This window comes from Homo sapiens, chromosome X (assembly GCF_000001405.40).
Source record: "Homo sapiens chromosome X, GRCh38.p14 Primary Assembly".
Classification (NCBI taxonomy): Eukaryota; Metazoa; Chordata; class Mammalia; order Primates; family Hominidae; genus Homo; species Homo sapiens.
The window spans coordinates 134,933,454-134,949,548 of record NC_000023.11 but is presented as its reverse complement, the minus strand read 5'-3'; the positions used below and the strand labels follow the sequence as shown (position 1 = coordinate 134,949,548).

The following is a 16,095-nucleotide window of genomic DNA, read 5'->3' as shown; positions in this document are numbered from 1 at the left end:
TGTGGAGGCTGCAGAAGAGAATCCGTTTCCTGGCTTTGTCTAGCTTCTAGAGGTCACCACATGACTCATGACTGACCCACTTTCTCTATCTTCAAAGGCATAGGTTGAGCGTTTCTCATATCAAATCACTCTGACACAAATTTCCCTGCCTCCTTTGTTTATTTATAAGGATCCTTATGATTATATTGGGCCTACCTGGATAATCCAGGATAATCGCTCCATCTCAAAGTCAGCTGATCAGCAACCTTAATTCCACCTACAAACTTAATTCTTCAGTTAACAAAAAAACAAACTCTAAAATATTTTAAAGAGACTTATTCTAAGCCAACATGAGTGATTGGGGCCCAGGAAGAAACACAAATCCAAGAAGCCTTGAGTAAGTGGTCATGAGGCAGTTAGGTCACAACTCTGTTTCATATATTTCAGGGAAGTAGAAGTTACAGGCAAAGTCATAAATCAGTACATAGAGTTTATACATTGGTTTGGCCAAAAAAAGCTGGATATTTTGAAGTGGGGGTTTACAGGTCATAGGTGGCCTCCGAGATTCTTTAACTTGCAGTTGGTTAAAGGAGTAAAGCTCTGTCTAAAACTTGGGAGTCAACAGAAAGGAATGTTTTAAGATAAGGATGCTATGTCACAAGATCAATGACTGGCAACTGCAATTTAACCTTTGACTTGCATAGCCTTAGGTCTTGTTTATAATTGGGTATCTTAGTCATAAAGAGTCTGTTTTGTCAGTGTTATGATCTCTATTTTAACCTTAATGCTGGTCAGTTGTGCCTAAGCTCCAAAGGGGTGGGGGTATAATGAGGCACGTTCAATCTCACTTCTTGTCATGGCCAGGAATTCAGTCTTTAAGGTTTTTGTGAGAGGTCTCCTTGGCCAAGAAGGAGTCCCTTCAGTCGGTGGAGGGACTTTGGATTCTTTTAGCTTACACCTCCTTGCCATGTAACATATTCACAGATGCTGGGAGTTACAAAATGGGTATCTTTGGGGCTCCATTATTCTGCTTGCCACAATATTCATGCCAGGGACATCTGAAAGAGCCTCTCCCTTCACACTACTGACCTGTTTCCAGAGTGACATTGGCTCCCTGGCTCAGGGCCATTTTCTGGCATCTGGGCCCTTCTACAATAGAGCCTTCTGGTAACAGAGCCTTCCCTACTTAGCCAGTGTTGTCTTCTCAGAATTTCTTCTTTTATTGGTTTTCTTGCCTAGAAAGTGGTCCTTGCAGCCAGGTGTGGTGGCTCACACCTATAATCCCAGCACTTTGGGAGGCTGAGTCGGGTCGATCACGTGAGGTCGGGAGTTCGAGACCAGCCTGGGCAACATGGCAAAACCCCATCTTTACTAAAATTACAAAAACTTAGCTGGGCATGGTGGCGGACACCTGTAATCCCAGCTACTTGGGAGGCTGAGGCAGGAGAATTGTTTGAACCCAGGAGACGGAGGTTGCAGTGAGCTGAGATAGTGCCATTGCACTCCAGCCTGGGCAACAGAGTAAGACTCTGTCAAAAAAAAAAAGAAAAAAAAAAAGAAAGGACGGAAGGAAGAAAGCAAGAAAGAAAGAGAAAGTGGTCCTTGCTTTTTGGGCTCAGATTATAGAACCAACCAACCCACCTGAGGTCAGCTTCTCATTATTGAATGGCACATTGAACTTCTAAATAGCTTTTATACACTTCAGGGCCTTTGCAATTACTATTCCCTCTGCTTGGAATGCTCTTCCCCCAAACTTTCTTTTTTTTCTTTTTTCTTTTTTTTTTTATTTGAGACACAGTCTCATTTTGTAGCCCAGGCTGGAGTGCAGTGGCACGATCTTGGCTCACTGCAAGCTTCGCCTCCCGGGTTCATGCCATTCTCCTGCCTCAGCCTCCCGAGTAGCTGGGACTACAGGTGCCCGCCACGATGCCCGGCTAATTTTTTGTATTTTTAGTAGAGACAGGGTTTCACCATGTTAGCCAGGATGATCTCGATCTCCTGACCTCGTGATCTGCCCGCCTCGGCCTCCCAAAGTGCTGGGACTACAGGCGTGAGCCACCGCGCCGGCCTCTTTTCTTTTTTTTAAATTTTTATTTTTTAGAGACAGGGTCTGATATGGTTAGGTTTTGTGTCTCCACCCAAATCTCATCTTGAATTGTAATCCTCATAATCCCCACATGCCAAAGGAGAGACCAGGTGGAGGTAATTGGATCATGGGAGTGGTTTCCCCCATGCTGTTCTTGTGATAGTGAGTGAGTCTCACGAGATCTGATGGTTTTATAAGGGGCTCTTCCCCCTTCACTCAGCACTTCTCCTTCCTGCTGCCTTGTGAAGAAGGTGCCTTGCTTCCCCTCTGCCTTCCACCATGATTTTAAGTTTCCTGAGGCCTCCCCAGCCATGCTGAACTGTGAGTCAAACCTCTTTTCTTTATAAATTATCTAGTCTTGGGTATAGCAGTGTGAAAACTGACTAATACAGGGTCTCACTCTGTCCCCAGGCTGGAACGCAGTGGCCAGATCATGGCCCATTGCAGCCACAACCTTCTAGGCTCAAGCAATCCTCCTGCCTCAGCCTCCCAAATAGCTGGGATTACAGGCATGTGCCATCACACCCGGCTAATTTTTTATTTTTGTAGAGACAGGGTCTCACTATGTTGCCCAGGCTGGTCTCAAACTCCAGAGCTCAAGTAATCCTCCCACCTCAGCCTCCTGAGAAGCTAGGATTACAGGCGTGAACCACCACAGGCTCCCCAGGTTTTCTTGCGGCTTCCTCACTTCCTTCAGTCTTTTCTCCACTGCTTCACAGAACACCATATCATAAATGGCATGTCTCTACTTTCACTCGCATCCATGTGAAGAGACCACCAAACAGGCTTTGTGTGAGCAATAAAGCTGTTTATTTCACCTGGGTGCAGAAGGGCTGAGTCCGAAAAGAGAGTCAGCGAAGGGAGATAGGGGTAGGACTGTTTTATAGGATTTGGGTAGGTAAAGGAAAATTACAGTCAAAGGGGGTTGTTCTCTGGCGAGCAGGGGCGGGGAACACAAGGTGCTCAGTGGGGGAGCTTTTGAGCCAGGATGAGCCAGGAGAAGGAATTTCACAAGGTAATGTCATCAGTTAAGGCAGGAACAGGCCATTTTCACTTCTTTTGTGATTCTTCAGTTACTTCAGGCCATCTGGATGTATACGTGCAGGTCACAGGGGATATGATGGCTTAGCCTGGACTCTGAGGCCTGACATCTACCCTACTTGATCTCTGCGTTCTTCTTCTGCTTTATCTTTCTTAGTATTTACTATGACCTCACAAAGGTAATATATGAAATTGCTGTTTATTTTTCTTCCTTCCGCCCCTAGAATGTGAGCTCCATAAGGGTAAAACTTTGTGTTATTCACTGCTGCATCCCCAGCATCTAGGACTAAGCCTGCCACCTGCTAGGTGCACAATAAATATTTGTTTGTGTCGACAAAAAGAGTCAACCTCTTTAAAATATTTGAAGAGATTTATTCTGAGCCAAATATGAGTGACCATGGCCTGTGACACAGCCCCCAGGAGATCCTGAGAACATTTGCCCAAGGTGCTCAGGGTGCAGCTTGGTTGTATACATTTTAGGGAGGCCCGAGACTTAAATCAAATACATTTAAGATGTGCATTGGTTTGGTCCAGAAAGGTGGGACAACTCAAAGCAGGGAGGAGGGCTTTCAGGTTATAGGTAGATTTAAAACTTTCTGGTTGACAATTGGTTGAGTTTATCTGAAGACCTGGTATCAACAGAAAGGAAATGTCTGAGATGTGATAAGAGGTTGTGGAGACCAAAGTTTTATCATGCAGATGAAGCCTCCAGGTAGCAGGCTTCAGAGAGAATAGATTGTAAATGCTTCTTTTTTTTTTTTACTGAGACAGAGTCTCACTCTGTCACCCAGGCTGGAGTGCAGTGACAGATCTCCGCTCACTGCAACCTCTGCCTCCCAGGCTCAGACGATTCTCCTGCTTCAGTCTCCTGAGCAGCTGGGACTACAGGCATGCACCACCACGCCCAGCTAATTTTTTGTGTTTTTAGTAGAGATGGGGTTTCACCATGTTGGCCAGGCTGGTCTCGAACTCCTGACTGTCTCACGCATCCGTGTGAACAGACAACCAAACAGGCTTTGTTTGAGCAACATGGCTGTTTATTTCACCTGGGTGCAGGCGGGCTGAGTCCGAAAAGAGAGTCAGCAAAGTGTGGTGGGATTATCATTGGTTCTTATAGGTGTTGGGATAGGCGGTGGAGTTAAGAGCAATGTTTTGGGGGCACGGGGCGGATCTCACAAAGTACATTCTCAAGGGTGGGGGAGATTATAAAGAACCTTCCTAAGGGTGGGGGAGATTACAAAGTACTTTGATCAGTTAGGCTGGGGCAGAAATAAATCACAATGGTGGAATGTCATCAGTTAAGGCTATTTTCACTTTTTTTGTGGATCTTCAGTTGATTCAGGCCATCTGGATGTATACGTGCAGGTCACTGGGGATATGATGGCTTAGCTTGGGCTCAGAGACCTAACACTGACATCAGGTGATCCGCCCACCTCAGCCTCCCAAAGTGCTGGGATTACAGGCATGAGCCACCGTGCCTGGCCATAAATGCTTCTTACCAGACTGCATTGATGTTAATACCAGAGAAGTATAAGAAGGCATGTCTGGCCCCCACTTCCCGTCAAGGCCTGAGCCAGTCTCTCAGGTTATATTTTGAGAGTGCCCTGGCCGAGGAAGAAGTCCATTCAGATGATTGGGGGCGGTGGGGGGGGGGGGGGTTAGAATTTTATTTTTGGTTTACATTTGAATCAATTCCCATCTCTTTATCCCCATTGCCACAAATTTAGTTTAAGCACTGATCATCATCTCTGGTTTGGATAATTGGAACAGTCTTCTAACAGGTCTCTAGACTTCCTCTAACTGCCCATTCTGCAGTCAAAATGATCTTTCAAAACTGCAGATCCAATCATGACTTCCCCTTGCTCAAAAAATCTTCAGTAACTCCTCATTTTCTTCAGGATAAAATAATTTGGCACCAAGGCCCTCCATAATTTGGTCCCCTTCATTGAATCATGAAAACTTCACGAGCACCTACTCTGTGGCAGATACTATTCTAGATTCTGGAGATACGACAGTGAATGAGACATGTCCCCCACCATCAAAAAGTACATAGGACTAACTCATAGGTCTTGAAGTTCATAGGTACAGAAAGCAAAGTAGATTGAGGATCAGAAATCAGGGTGGAACATCTAGGACTGAAGGTTCCTCCCTGTTTCCAAGGTATATGAAGCAGCATCTGTAACCAGCACCCACTCAATAACCTCTTCTTTATTGGAGTAGGTAGTTTATCTTGCCAGCCCTAGAAATGGGTATTGGGACAAAGGAGAGAGGCAGACAGAGCCTGTGGTTACTTCCAGCCTCCACGGCAGACCCAGAGGGAAGAAAGGAAACGAAGCAGCACCCAGGGGTAAAGTACACAAAGAATAAAGTCCTCCTTGCTTTAGCAATGAATATGTTGGGAGGATGACCTGAGCTGGCCTCACTGCCTGGTACCCAAAGGCAAGCCTGCTCATTAAGGGACCCATCTGCTCTTACAGAGGCTGCAGGCAGATAGTCCTTACAGGAATGATGACCTTAGGGTAAATAGATCTATTCAAAGACAAGCTATTTCACCTATTCATCAAAGTCCTCCAATTATAAACAAATGGTCAACTAAGGAACACCAACAATTTGAAGGAAAACAACATAAAAGAAGTTCAAGGCCGGGCGTGGTGGCTTACGCCTGTAATCCCAACACTTTGGGAGGCTGAGGCAGGCAGATCACTTGAGGTCAGGAGTTCGAGACCAGCCTTCCCAACATGGTGAAACCCTATCTCTACTAAAAATACAAAAATTAGCCGGTCATGGTGGTGCATGACTGTAGTCTCAGCTACTCAGGAGGCTGAGGCAGAAGAGTTGCTTGAACCCAGGAGGTGGAGGTTGTAGTGAACTGAGGTCACGCCACTGCACTCCAGCCTGGATGACAGAGTGAGACTCCATCTCAAGAAAAAAAAAAAAGAACAAAGAAACAGCTGATCCTGAAGGAAGCAGATAATGAAAAAATCAAAAACGACCCCCAGAAAGATGAAAAAATATATTACAAACATAAAACCAGAAAAAGCAATCAGAAAATGAGAAAGTTCTGGGAAAATAAAGATATGACTTGAAAATACAACAAATGTTAAGGAGACAGCACAAGAGTTAAAGTTGACTTTTAGGAATGCATAGGAAGTATGAAATAGATTTTGTCTTTAACATCAATCTTGTATGTTTTTTTTTTTTCCAGACGGAGTCTCGCTCTGTCGCCCAGGCTGGAGTGCAGTGGTGCGCGCGATCTCGGCTCACTGCAAGCTCCACTTCCCAAGTTCACGCCATTCTCCGGCCTCAGCCTCCCGAGTAGCTGGGACTACAGGCGCCCACCACCATGCCCGGCTTATTTTTTGTATTTTTAGTAGAGACGGAGTTTCACCATGTTAGCCAGGATGGTCTCAATCTCCTGACCTCATGATCCGCCCGCCTCAGCCTCCCAAAGTGCTAGGATTACAGGCGTGAGCCACCGCGCCTGGCCTCAACCTTGTATTATAAAAGAGAACAATATTTATTTTCAAAGTGGTTTCCACAGTTGTTTAGGAGAATCCCCACTTTTGCATTCAGTGTCGATGGGCTCTTACAAATGGTTTATATACCTACAACTTGTTTTCTTATTTGTTGGCACAAACATATCACTGTGAAAAACAACATCTCAAATTTTGAAGAGCTCTTTGAAAGTTTTACTCTTCATATTCTAGGTGATATTTAGACTTAGTAACTGATGAAATAAAAATTAGCCATTTATAAGGACCAGAATTATCCAAGTATTTAAGAGAAACCAGGAATATTTCAATTCATATAATAGAGCTGGATGGAATCCTAAAATAACATCTCAAATTTAGGAAAAAAACTGAGGACCATCTAGAGGAGGCGTGTTGGCCACAGTCACCCAGAGCATTTGCAGAAACTGGCCTCCAAATTTCTACTTTACTGTAGAAGGGAAATCAGTTTAAAGCTCATGGACAAACTCTTATCAGAGTTTCTAAAGTTACATGATTTTTGAAACTTCAGGCATTGCTTCTGTTGAACAGATTTTCATTTTTAGATAAAACAATAGCTACCTTACAAAATGACATTTATTTATTTATTTATTTTAAGATGGGGTCTTGCTCTGTCACCCAGGCTGGAGCGCAGTGGCACAATCTCAGCTCACTGCAACCTCTGCTTCCCAGGCTCAAGTGATCCTTCTACCTCAGCCTCCTGAATAGCTGGGACCACAAGTGTGCACCACCACACCCAGCTAATTTTTGTTGTTTTTTGTTGTTGTTGTTGGGTTTTTTTTGTGTTTTTTTGTTTGTTTGTTTTTTGAGACGGGGTCTGCCTCTGTTGCCCAGGCTGAAGTGCAGTGGCTCGATCTCTGCTCACTGCAACCTCCGCCTCCCGGGTTCAAGAGATTCTCCTGCCCCAGCCTCCTGAGTACCTGGGATTGCAGGCGTGCACCACCATGCCCGGCTAATATTTTTTTGTTGTTTTTAGTAGAGACGGGGTTTTGGCATGTTGGTCAGGCTAGTCTCGAACTCCTGACCTCATGATCTGCCAGCCTTGGCCTCCCAAAGTGCTGAGATTACAGGCGTGAGCCACCCCACCTGGCCTAATTTTTGTATTTTTTATAGAGATGGAGTTTGACCATGTTGCCCAGGCTGGTCTCGAACTCCTGACCTCAAGCAATCCTCCTGCCTTGGCTTCCAAAGTGCTGGGATTACAGGCCCATCTTGCCCAGCCAATAACTTTTTAAAAGGAACCTATACAAATAATTTTAGAGAAACAAATACTTCGGCTCAACAACCGTCAGGGTGACAGCAAAGCCATTCTGGTCTTGGCCAGGATTTAAATGCATGTTCTCAAACAAATACATCCATTCCAAATGACATTCCAGGGCTTTTAGATACAACTTCTCATGGAGATATGATGACCAATAAGAAATCACTTCTCGGCTGGGTGCAGTGGCTCACCGCTATAATCCCAGCACTTTGGGAAGCCAAGGCGAGCGGATCACCTGAGGTCAGGAGTTCGAGACCAGCCTGGCCAACATGGCGAAACCCCATCTCTACTAAAAATACAAAAATTAGCTGGGCGTGGTGGCTTGTGCCTGTAATCCCAGCTACTCAGGAGGCTGAGACAGGAGAATCGCTTGAACCCAGGAGGCGGAGGTTGCAGTGAGCCAAGGTTGTGCCACTGCACTCCAGCCTGGGCAACAGAGCAAGACCCTGTCTCAAAAAAAAAAGAAAAAGAAAGAAATCACTTCTCAATGCCTGTCACATTTTATGAGTTCTGTCTGTGTAACTTCACCAATGTGGGTTGTAACTCTGGGTCTGATACTTAAGAGCTGTTAAGATTTTGAACAAAGTGACCTTTCTGAGCTATTAGACTTTCAAAAGTTTGCAGCTTTTATTACAATACTATTATTACTAGTATCATAAATTCCCAAAGAAAATGGGGATAATTAAGTACCTGTTCTTATAGGATTCTTATGGTAATTAAATAAGGTAATGCACTTTAAAAATAACTTAACACTTCAACATGTAGTAATCTGTAGATTATACTGTTAGTAGTAGCAGTAGCAGTAGTATTGCAGTGTCATATCTAATGTGAAAGTTAAGTTACAGAGTCAGCATGTCAAGCCAAAAATCACATTAAAATTATTCTTGGCCAGATGCGATGGCTCATGCCTGTAATCCCAACACTTTGGGAGGCCGAGGTGGGCGAATCACGAGGTCAGGAGTTCGAGACCAGCCTGGCCAACATGGTGAAACCCCGTCTCTACTAAAAACACAAAAATTAGCCAGGCGTGGTGGCGGGAGCATGTATACCCAGCTACTCGGGAGGCTGAGGCAGGAGAATTGCTTGAACCCGGGAGGCAGAGGTTGCAGGGAGTTGAGATCACGCCACTGCACTCCAGCCTTGGTGACAGAGTGAGACTCTGTCTCAAAAAAAAAAAAAAAAAAAGCGTTTAAAAAAAAAAGATACTAGCAGGCCACACGCAGTGGCTCATGCCTGTAATCCCAGCACTTTGAGGGGCCAAGGCAGACAGATCACTTGAGGTCAGGAGTTCAAGACCAGCCTGGCCAACATGGCAAAACCCCGTCTCTACTAAAAAATACAAAAAATTAGCCGGGCGTGGTGGCAGGCACCTGTAGTCTCAGCTACTTTGGAGGCTGAGGCAGGAGAATCACTTGAACCTGGGAGGCAGATGTTGCAGTGAGCCGAAATTGCTCCATTGCACTCTGGCCTGGGTGACAGAGTGAGACTCCATCTCAAAATAAAAAAGAAAAAAAAATTATTCTTGAAAGGACTAGGCACAGTGGCTCACACCTGTAATCCCAGCATTTTGGGAGGCCGAGTCAGGCAGACCACTTGAGGCCAGCATTCGAGACCAGCCTGGCCAACATGGGAAAAGCCTGTCTCTACTAAAATACAAAAATTAACCAGGTTTGGTGGTGCATGCCTGTAATTCCAGCTACTTGGGAGGCTGAGGGATGAGGATTGCTTGAAAACCCAGGAGGCAGAGGTTGCAGTGGGCCGAGATGCCACCATTGCACTCCAGCCTGGGCAACAGAGCAAGACTCTGTCTAAAAAATATATATATATATATATTTCTTGAAAGTTCCAATAATTTCCCATAAAGTATACTATCCATGCCCTTGCATATATGCTGTCCAACTGATTTACTCCTGTCTCATGCTCATTCTGTGGCATATACTTACTAAATGGAATGGCAAATGGATTTGCTTTTTCTATTTCTTTTATTTTCCTGTATTGGTAGAGCATACCCACACAGTTAAATCTGCATAAATTAAATGCACTAAATGGGACACCACTGATTTATTAGTACAGACAGCCCTCTGTATCTGTGGGTTATGCATCTGTGGATTCAATCAACTTGAAATCAAAGATATTTGAAAAAAAATGCCTGTGCTGAACATGTACAGATTTTTTGTTGTTGTTGTCATTCTTCCCTAAACAATGCAGTGTATGTATTTACATAGCATTTACATTGTATTGGGTATTATAAGTAATCTAGAGATGGTTTATATAAAGAAGGATGTGCATCAGTTATGTGCAAATACTACGCCATTTTATATCAGAGACTTGAGCATCTGAGAATTTTGGTATCCATGAGGGTCCTAGAGCCAATCCTCTGTAGATACAGAGGGACGACTCTATCTAATGTGAGCCCTACCCTTTGCTACTTTCTTGAGACAAAAAACTCAAAGTTTTTAAAATGCTGACCCTGAGATTCATTTATATTGAAACCACAGAATTTTAGAGTTGGAAAGGATCTTGAAGGAGTTGATCAATGCATGGGGTGGCAGAATATCAGAGTTCCAGATGTGACTGTGGTACTTACAAGCTAGATGAGCCACTTAACCCCTCTGTCTTTCATATGCTCACAGGTAAAATGATGGGAGGGCGTATGCTGCCTGTCTTCCAAAGCTGTGGAGGAAATTCCACAAGATAGTAATTATAACAATAATGATGTCGAAAAGCAAACTTTCAACAAGTTGAGTTGAAAAGATCTAAATGGCTTTTATTAATGATTCATGAATTGGGCAGCATCCCATCCATAAAATAGAAGGAATTCCAATGAGCAGAGCAGAGAGGGTTGGTTTTATAGGCAGAAAAGTGGTAAAGAAGCAAAAATAGAGAACAAAAAGTAGATTGTTCATTTTTTTCACTTGTTTTTATTTATTTATTTATTTTTAATGATAGAGTCTCACTCTGTCACCCAGGCTGGAATGCAGTGGTGTGATCACAGCTCACTGCAGCCTCATCCTCCTAGGCTCAAGCAATCCTCCTACCTCAGTCTCGTAAGTAGCTGGGACCACAGGCACGCATTACTGCACTCAGCTAATTTTTTAGTTTTTTGTAGAGACAGGGTCTCCTTATGTTGCCCAGGCTGGTCTGGAACTCCTGGGCTCAAACAATCTTCCCACCTTGGCCTCCCAAAGTGCTGAGATTACAGGTGTGAGCCACCACACCCAGCAAATTGTTCATTTCAAAGTTACTTTCCTTACAGGGTTAGAATAGAGGGGACTTCATTATCATACTGGCTCAGATAAACTGGGCCCCTTCTGATTGGCCACTGTGAATATCTTATTTTTTGGAAAGTTGGCTCATTTTAAAGTTCAGTTTGATTACATGGCACCTAGAACTAGTGACTCCATTCTGGTTTGGTTTGCTCTGTTAGGCCTAGTCCAGGATCTCAGTCCAAAACAATTGGCTTCCCACAATTTTTATTTAAGAAGATAATAACAATTGTTAATGCTTACTGGAGGCTATTTCATTTAATTCTCACAGTAGTCTTGAACGAGGTAGTTTCCATAATTAACCCCAATTTGTACATGGAGAACCTGAGACACCAAGATGTGTGTCAATGCACTTTGAAAAATCAAGCCCGAATTAGCCGGGCATGGTGGTAGGCACCTGTAATCCCAGCTACGTGGGAGGCTGAGGCAGGGGAATCGCTTGAACTCAGGAGGCAGAGGTCGCAGTGACCCGAGATCGCGCCACTGCACTCCAGACTGGGTGACAGAGCAAGACTCTATCTCAAAAAAAAAAAAAAAAAAAAGGAAAGAAAAAAGAAAAACAAAACTCAAACCTGGTGGCCGGGCAAGGTGGCTCACGCCCGTAATCCCAACACTTTGGGAGGCCAAGGTGGGTGGATCACATGAGGTCAGGAGTTCGAGACCAGCCTGACCCCATCTCTACTAAAAATACAAAAATTTGCCGGGCCTGGTGGTGTGTGCCTGTAGTCTCAGCTACTTGGGAGGCTGAGACAGGAAAATTGCTTGAACCTGGAAGGCAGAGGTTGCAGTGAGCTGAGATCCCACCACTGCACTCCAGCCTGGGTAAAAGAGTGAGACTCTGTCTCAAAAGTAAAAAAAAGAGAACTCAAGCCCTATGCAAGTGTGGAGATTGATTGGGATGAGGCTGCTGAGGGATAGAAATACAAATGTGACTTTGGAGAAGTCACATCCCCAAACTGGGATTACTTTTCTCATCTGTAAAATGAAGAAGTTGAACTCTTTCAAGGTACATTCAAAACTCCAAGAGTTTAAATAGAAAAGTTGAATGTGGTTCATTGTCCATACACTATAAATAAATTATTTCATGAACAAATTCTAATAAATTTACTTGTCAAGCTCTCTACAGCAACTCTATTAGGTCCACATGTTGAAGCCTGCATGGCATTTCACCCATTGCCAAGTTGCCCCTTTCTTTTATGTTTATTTGAAGTGCGAATGCTTCAAAGTGTTCTGAATATTTTCTCCTTACAGTGCAATAAAAGGACCAAGGAACATTCCCAGCAAAGCCTGCTTATAATTTATAATGCCAGATTACAATTTAATAATACATCTGTGGCTCCTTTGGCCAGCTTGACTGAAATTTTTAACGTGCATTTTTTCTGTAAGGCAAACAGGATACGTTCATTTTCCCATGTTTCAACTGTAAATATATTTTAATACTTTAAAAAATTTTAGAAAGAAGAAAGGAAGGAGGAAAAGAAAGAAGAAAGGAAGGGAGAAAAGAAAAAAAGGAAAGAAGGAGGGAAAGAAGGAAGGAAGGGAGGGAGAGAGGGAGGGAGGAAGGAAGGAAAAGAGTCACATTTCTGCTCTAATCCAATCCCAGTATTTTTCACTCCTAGATGCTTCCTTCTGACCTTGTTCAGCTGCTTTCAAATTTTTCCATAGTTTGTTCATTCCACAGGTATTTATTAAGTCATACCACTTACCAGGCAACAATCATTGTTCTAAGGACTGGAGATACAGCAAAGAGGAAGACAGAGGCCCAGCCTTGGTTGTAAGTTCCATGTACACGTACTTTTGTTTCCCTTTTTTTTTTTTTTGGCTTAACATTATATCTTAAGCATTTTTCCATGTGTTTGCCCTGAAAGAATGTGGACAAAAAAAATAAAATAGGCTCTGTTGTTAGAGGGAATTAGTAAGTTAATAAAACATTTGTTGATTCCACTGAAAGCATTAAAGTAGTAACAAAATAATTTTTACAAAAGTAAAAAAGAATAAAACATTTGTGCAGTCCTGCTGGGAGAGAGATTTGAAGATGATAATAATCACTGTTTTTCAGCCGGGTGTGATGGCTCAGGCTTGTAATCCCAGCAGTTTGTGAGACCGAGGCAGGAGGATTACCTGAGTCCAGGAGTTCGAGACCAGCCTGGCCAAAATAGTGAAACCCTGTCTGTACAAAAAATACAAAAATTAGCCAGACGTGGTGATGGACACCTGTAGTCCCAGCTACTTGGGAGGCTGAGGCATGAGAATCACTTGAACCCGGGAGGCGGAGGTTGCAGTGGGCCGAGATTGCGCCACTGCACTCCAGACTCTGTCTCAAAAAAAAAAATCAAGTTTTTTTGAGTACCTCCTTTGTGATAGGCACCATCTAGATGATATACACATATTATCTCATTTACATTAATCTTCACTACAGCTCTATGAGGTTGAAGATAGTATTATCTTATCCCTATTTTGCATGTAAGGAAACTGAGGATCAGAGCTTCTAAATTGCAAAGCCAGAATTAGAGTTCCAGTCTGAGCTGCATCAAACATTTCCCTTTACTCTGGGGATGGAGTGAGGAGCTTTGATTTCATTCCATTTCTTTCTTTTTGGAGAATAGGGAGTGGGCAATCATTTTGAACCAATTTGCCCAATTTCATAACTACGTTCAGGTTTGAAAGGAGCTGAAAATGATATGCAATTTGGAGGAAGTGAAAGAAAATAGAAATTATCCCCCTTTTTCTCTTTCCTCACCTTAAGACCTGCCACTGCATCCTTTTTGTTTGGAGAAACAAATGAGAAAATTGTCCGATCTTTTAGCAATAGCTTAAAACACAAATTACCAAGATACAGTAATTAGACTGAATAGTCAAGACATGCCAAAGATGTCTAGTTTTATTGCCTACATGCGCCAGTGGTTTAAGGGAGGTTAGGGTCACCTTGAGTCCTTCACATATCTCCAAGGTGATAACAGCAACAAAAACAAAATTCTAACAAAAAGAATTCCTGGACAGTCATGCAGCTCTTTACAGTTTTCAATGCCCTGTACAGCAGATTCTCAAATAGGAACAATGTGTGGACACTTTCCATCAGAAAATAATTATTTCAGGCCCTCAGTGTTGATCTTCTATTATAATATTACTTACATATATGATAACATAAAACAAGACATAAACTCCTTATACTCATAGCATTTAAACAACTGTAAATCCAGAATGATTTCACATATTAAATGCAAACAAAACTAAAAAATCAATACAACTCAAATCACTAACACTAGTTTAATATAATGGATGGTGTTGTTTTGCTAAAATGAAATCACTTGCCCCAGTGTGAATTGAATATTAGCATGTGCATTATTAAAACAATTCCTCTGAATTAACTTTGATGTTATCTGGCTTCGTTTGAAGGAAATATATCACTTATACTTTATGTCTACCTCTGTTCTTTTCCCTTGGATCCAAAAGAATTAAAGTAGTAATCTTTGGTACCATTATGATTGTAAACAGAAATGCAAATTTTAGTGCTGAAATTGCATGACAGTATTTGGTTATAAGATGGTCATTGACTTAATACCATTCTGTGGGACAACTTGAGGACCACAGTGTCAGAAACACTAGTGATTAAGAGCATAAGCTTTGAAACCTGACAGATCTGAGTTTGCCACTTCCTAGTTGTGTGAGCTTGGACAAGTAATTTAACCTCTCTGTTCCTCAGGTTTCTTCCCCTGTAAAATGGGGATAATAATAGTACTTTAATTTTGCCAGCAGAAACAGGCACCATGACCCACTTTTTAGACATGATGTTTAAGCCTGAAACTGCTGAGAAACTAGAAGTCACTCAGTGTTCCTTCAGCGCTCCTCTGTAATTCCAGAACTACATGAAGGTGGACAGGTTTTAAAAAGATATTTCTCTGGACTTTCACCCTCCCCTCCCAATATCTGCATTTGCTATCCCAGGTTCATGTTTTAGGGTGGAACTGGAAAATGTGATTGAGCTTTAAAAAGGAAACAGCAAAATGGCAATGCCAGTAAATAGACAATTGAGAATCAGTTGAACTCATGCCACAAGACAGCTGTTTCTATATGAAGCCCACCAATGAAAGCCTGCTTTTCTGCTTCCTGACCTGGCACGAATCCCTTGATTCCTGCGGCCCCCAAGGTTGAAAATAGCCCAGCCACCTGCCAAGGGTTGGTATATTTTTAGGACCAACAGGATTGGAAACAGGGCTCTGTATGCCTGGAACTTGAGCCAGGCTGCTGGGTGGGTATCTTACCTTCACTGGGTTGCTGGTTTCTGTGCTGCTGGATCAAATCCAGCAGCCAGTCACAGAAATGGACAGAGAGCTGTGAGAGAAGCAGATTGGAACAGTGAAAGGAGGTGGGGTTTGTCTGGGGAGGGGTGAATACAGGGAGAATGGAGTGAGTAGAAGGTCATAGCTAGTGGATGTTGGGTTAAAAGATATAGGAAAGGGGCTGGGTGCGGTGGCTCATGACTGTAATCCCAGCACTTCGGGAGGCAGACGCGGGTGGATCACTTGAGGTCAGGAGTTAGAGACCAGCCTGACTAACATAGTGAAACCCCGTCTCTACTAAAAATACAAAAAATATCTGGAAATCGCTTGAACCCGGGAGGCGGAGGTTGCAGTGACCCGAGATCATGCCACTGCACTCCAGCCTGGGCAACAAAGCGAGATTCTGTCTCAAAAAAAATATAAAAGATATAAGAAAGTTCCATAAATGATAGGACCCCACAACAAGCAGAAATCACAGTGCTAGACCCTTTCCTTGTTTAGAAAAAAAGTGTAGTTAAAACTTATCTCAATATCTTCCATCAGTCTCTCAAACAAACAGCTCAGAAATGGTCCCAATACCAGGTATTTGTCAAACTATAACAGATGAGACTGGGCACCAGTGGGTGCACGGTGGCTCATGCCTGTAATCCTGGCTGAGGAGGGCAGATCACTT

General features: G+C 43.1%; 1 annotated feature.

Moving 5' to 3' along the window:
* Positions 15,324-15,524: a silencer, noted in NCBI's record as "peak7431 fragment used in MPRA reporter construct". NCBI's record gives its function as "represses an SCP1 promoter by STARR-seq MPRAs in K562 erythroleukemia cells {active_cell/tissue: K562}" and the evidence as "EXISTENCE:reporter gene assay evidence [ECO:0000049][PMID:32103011]".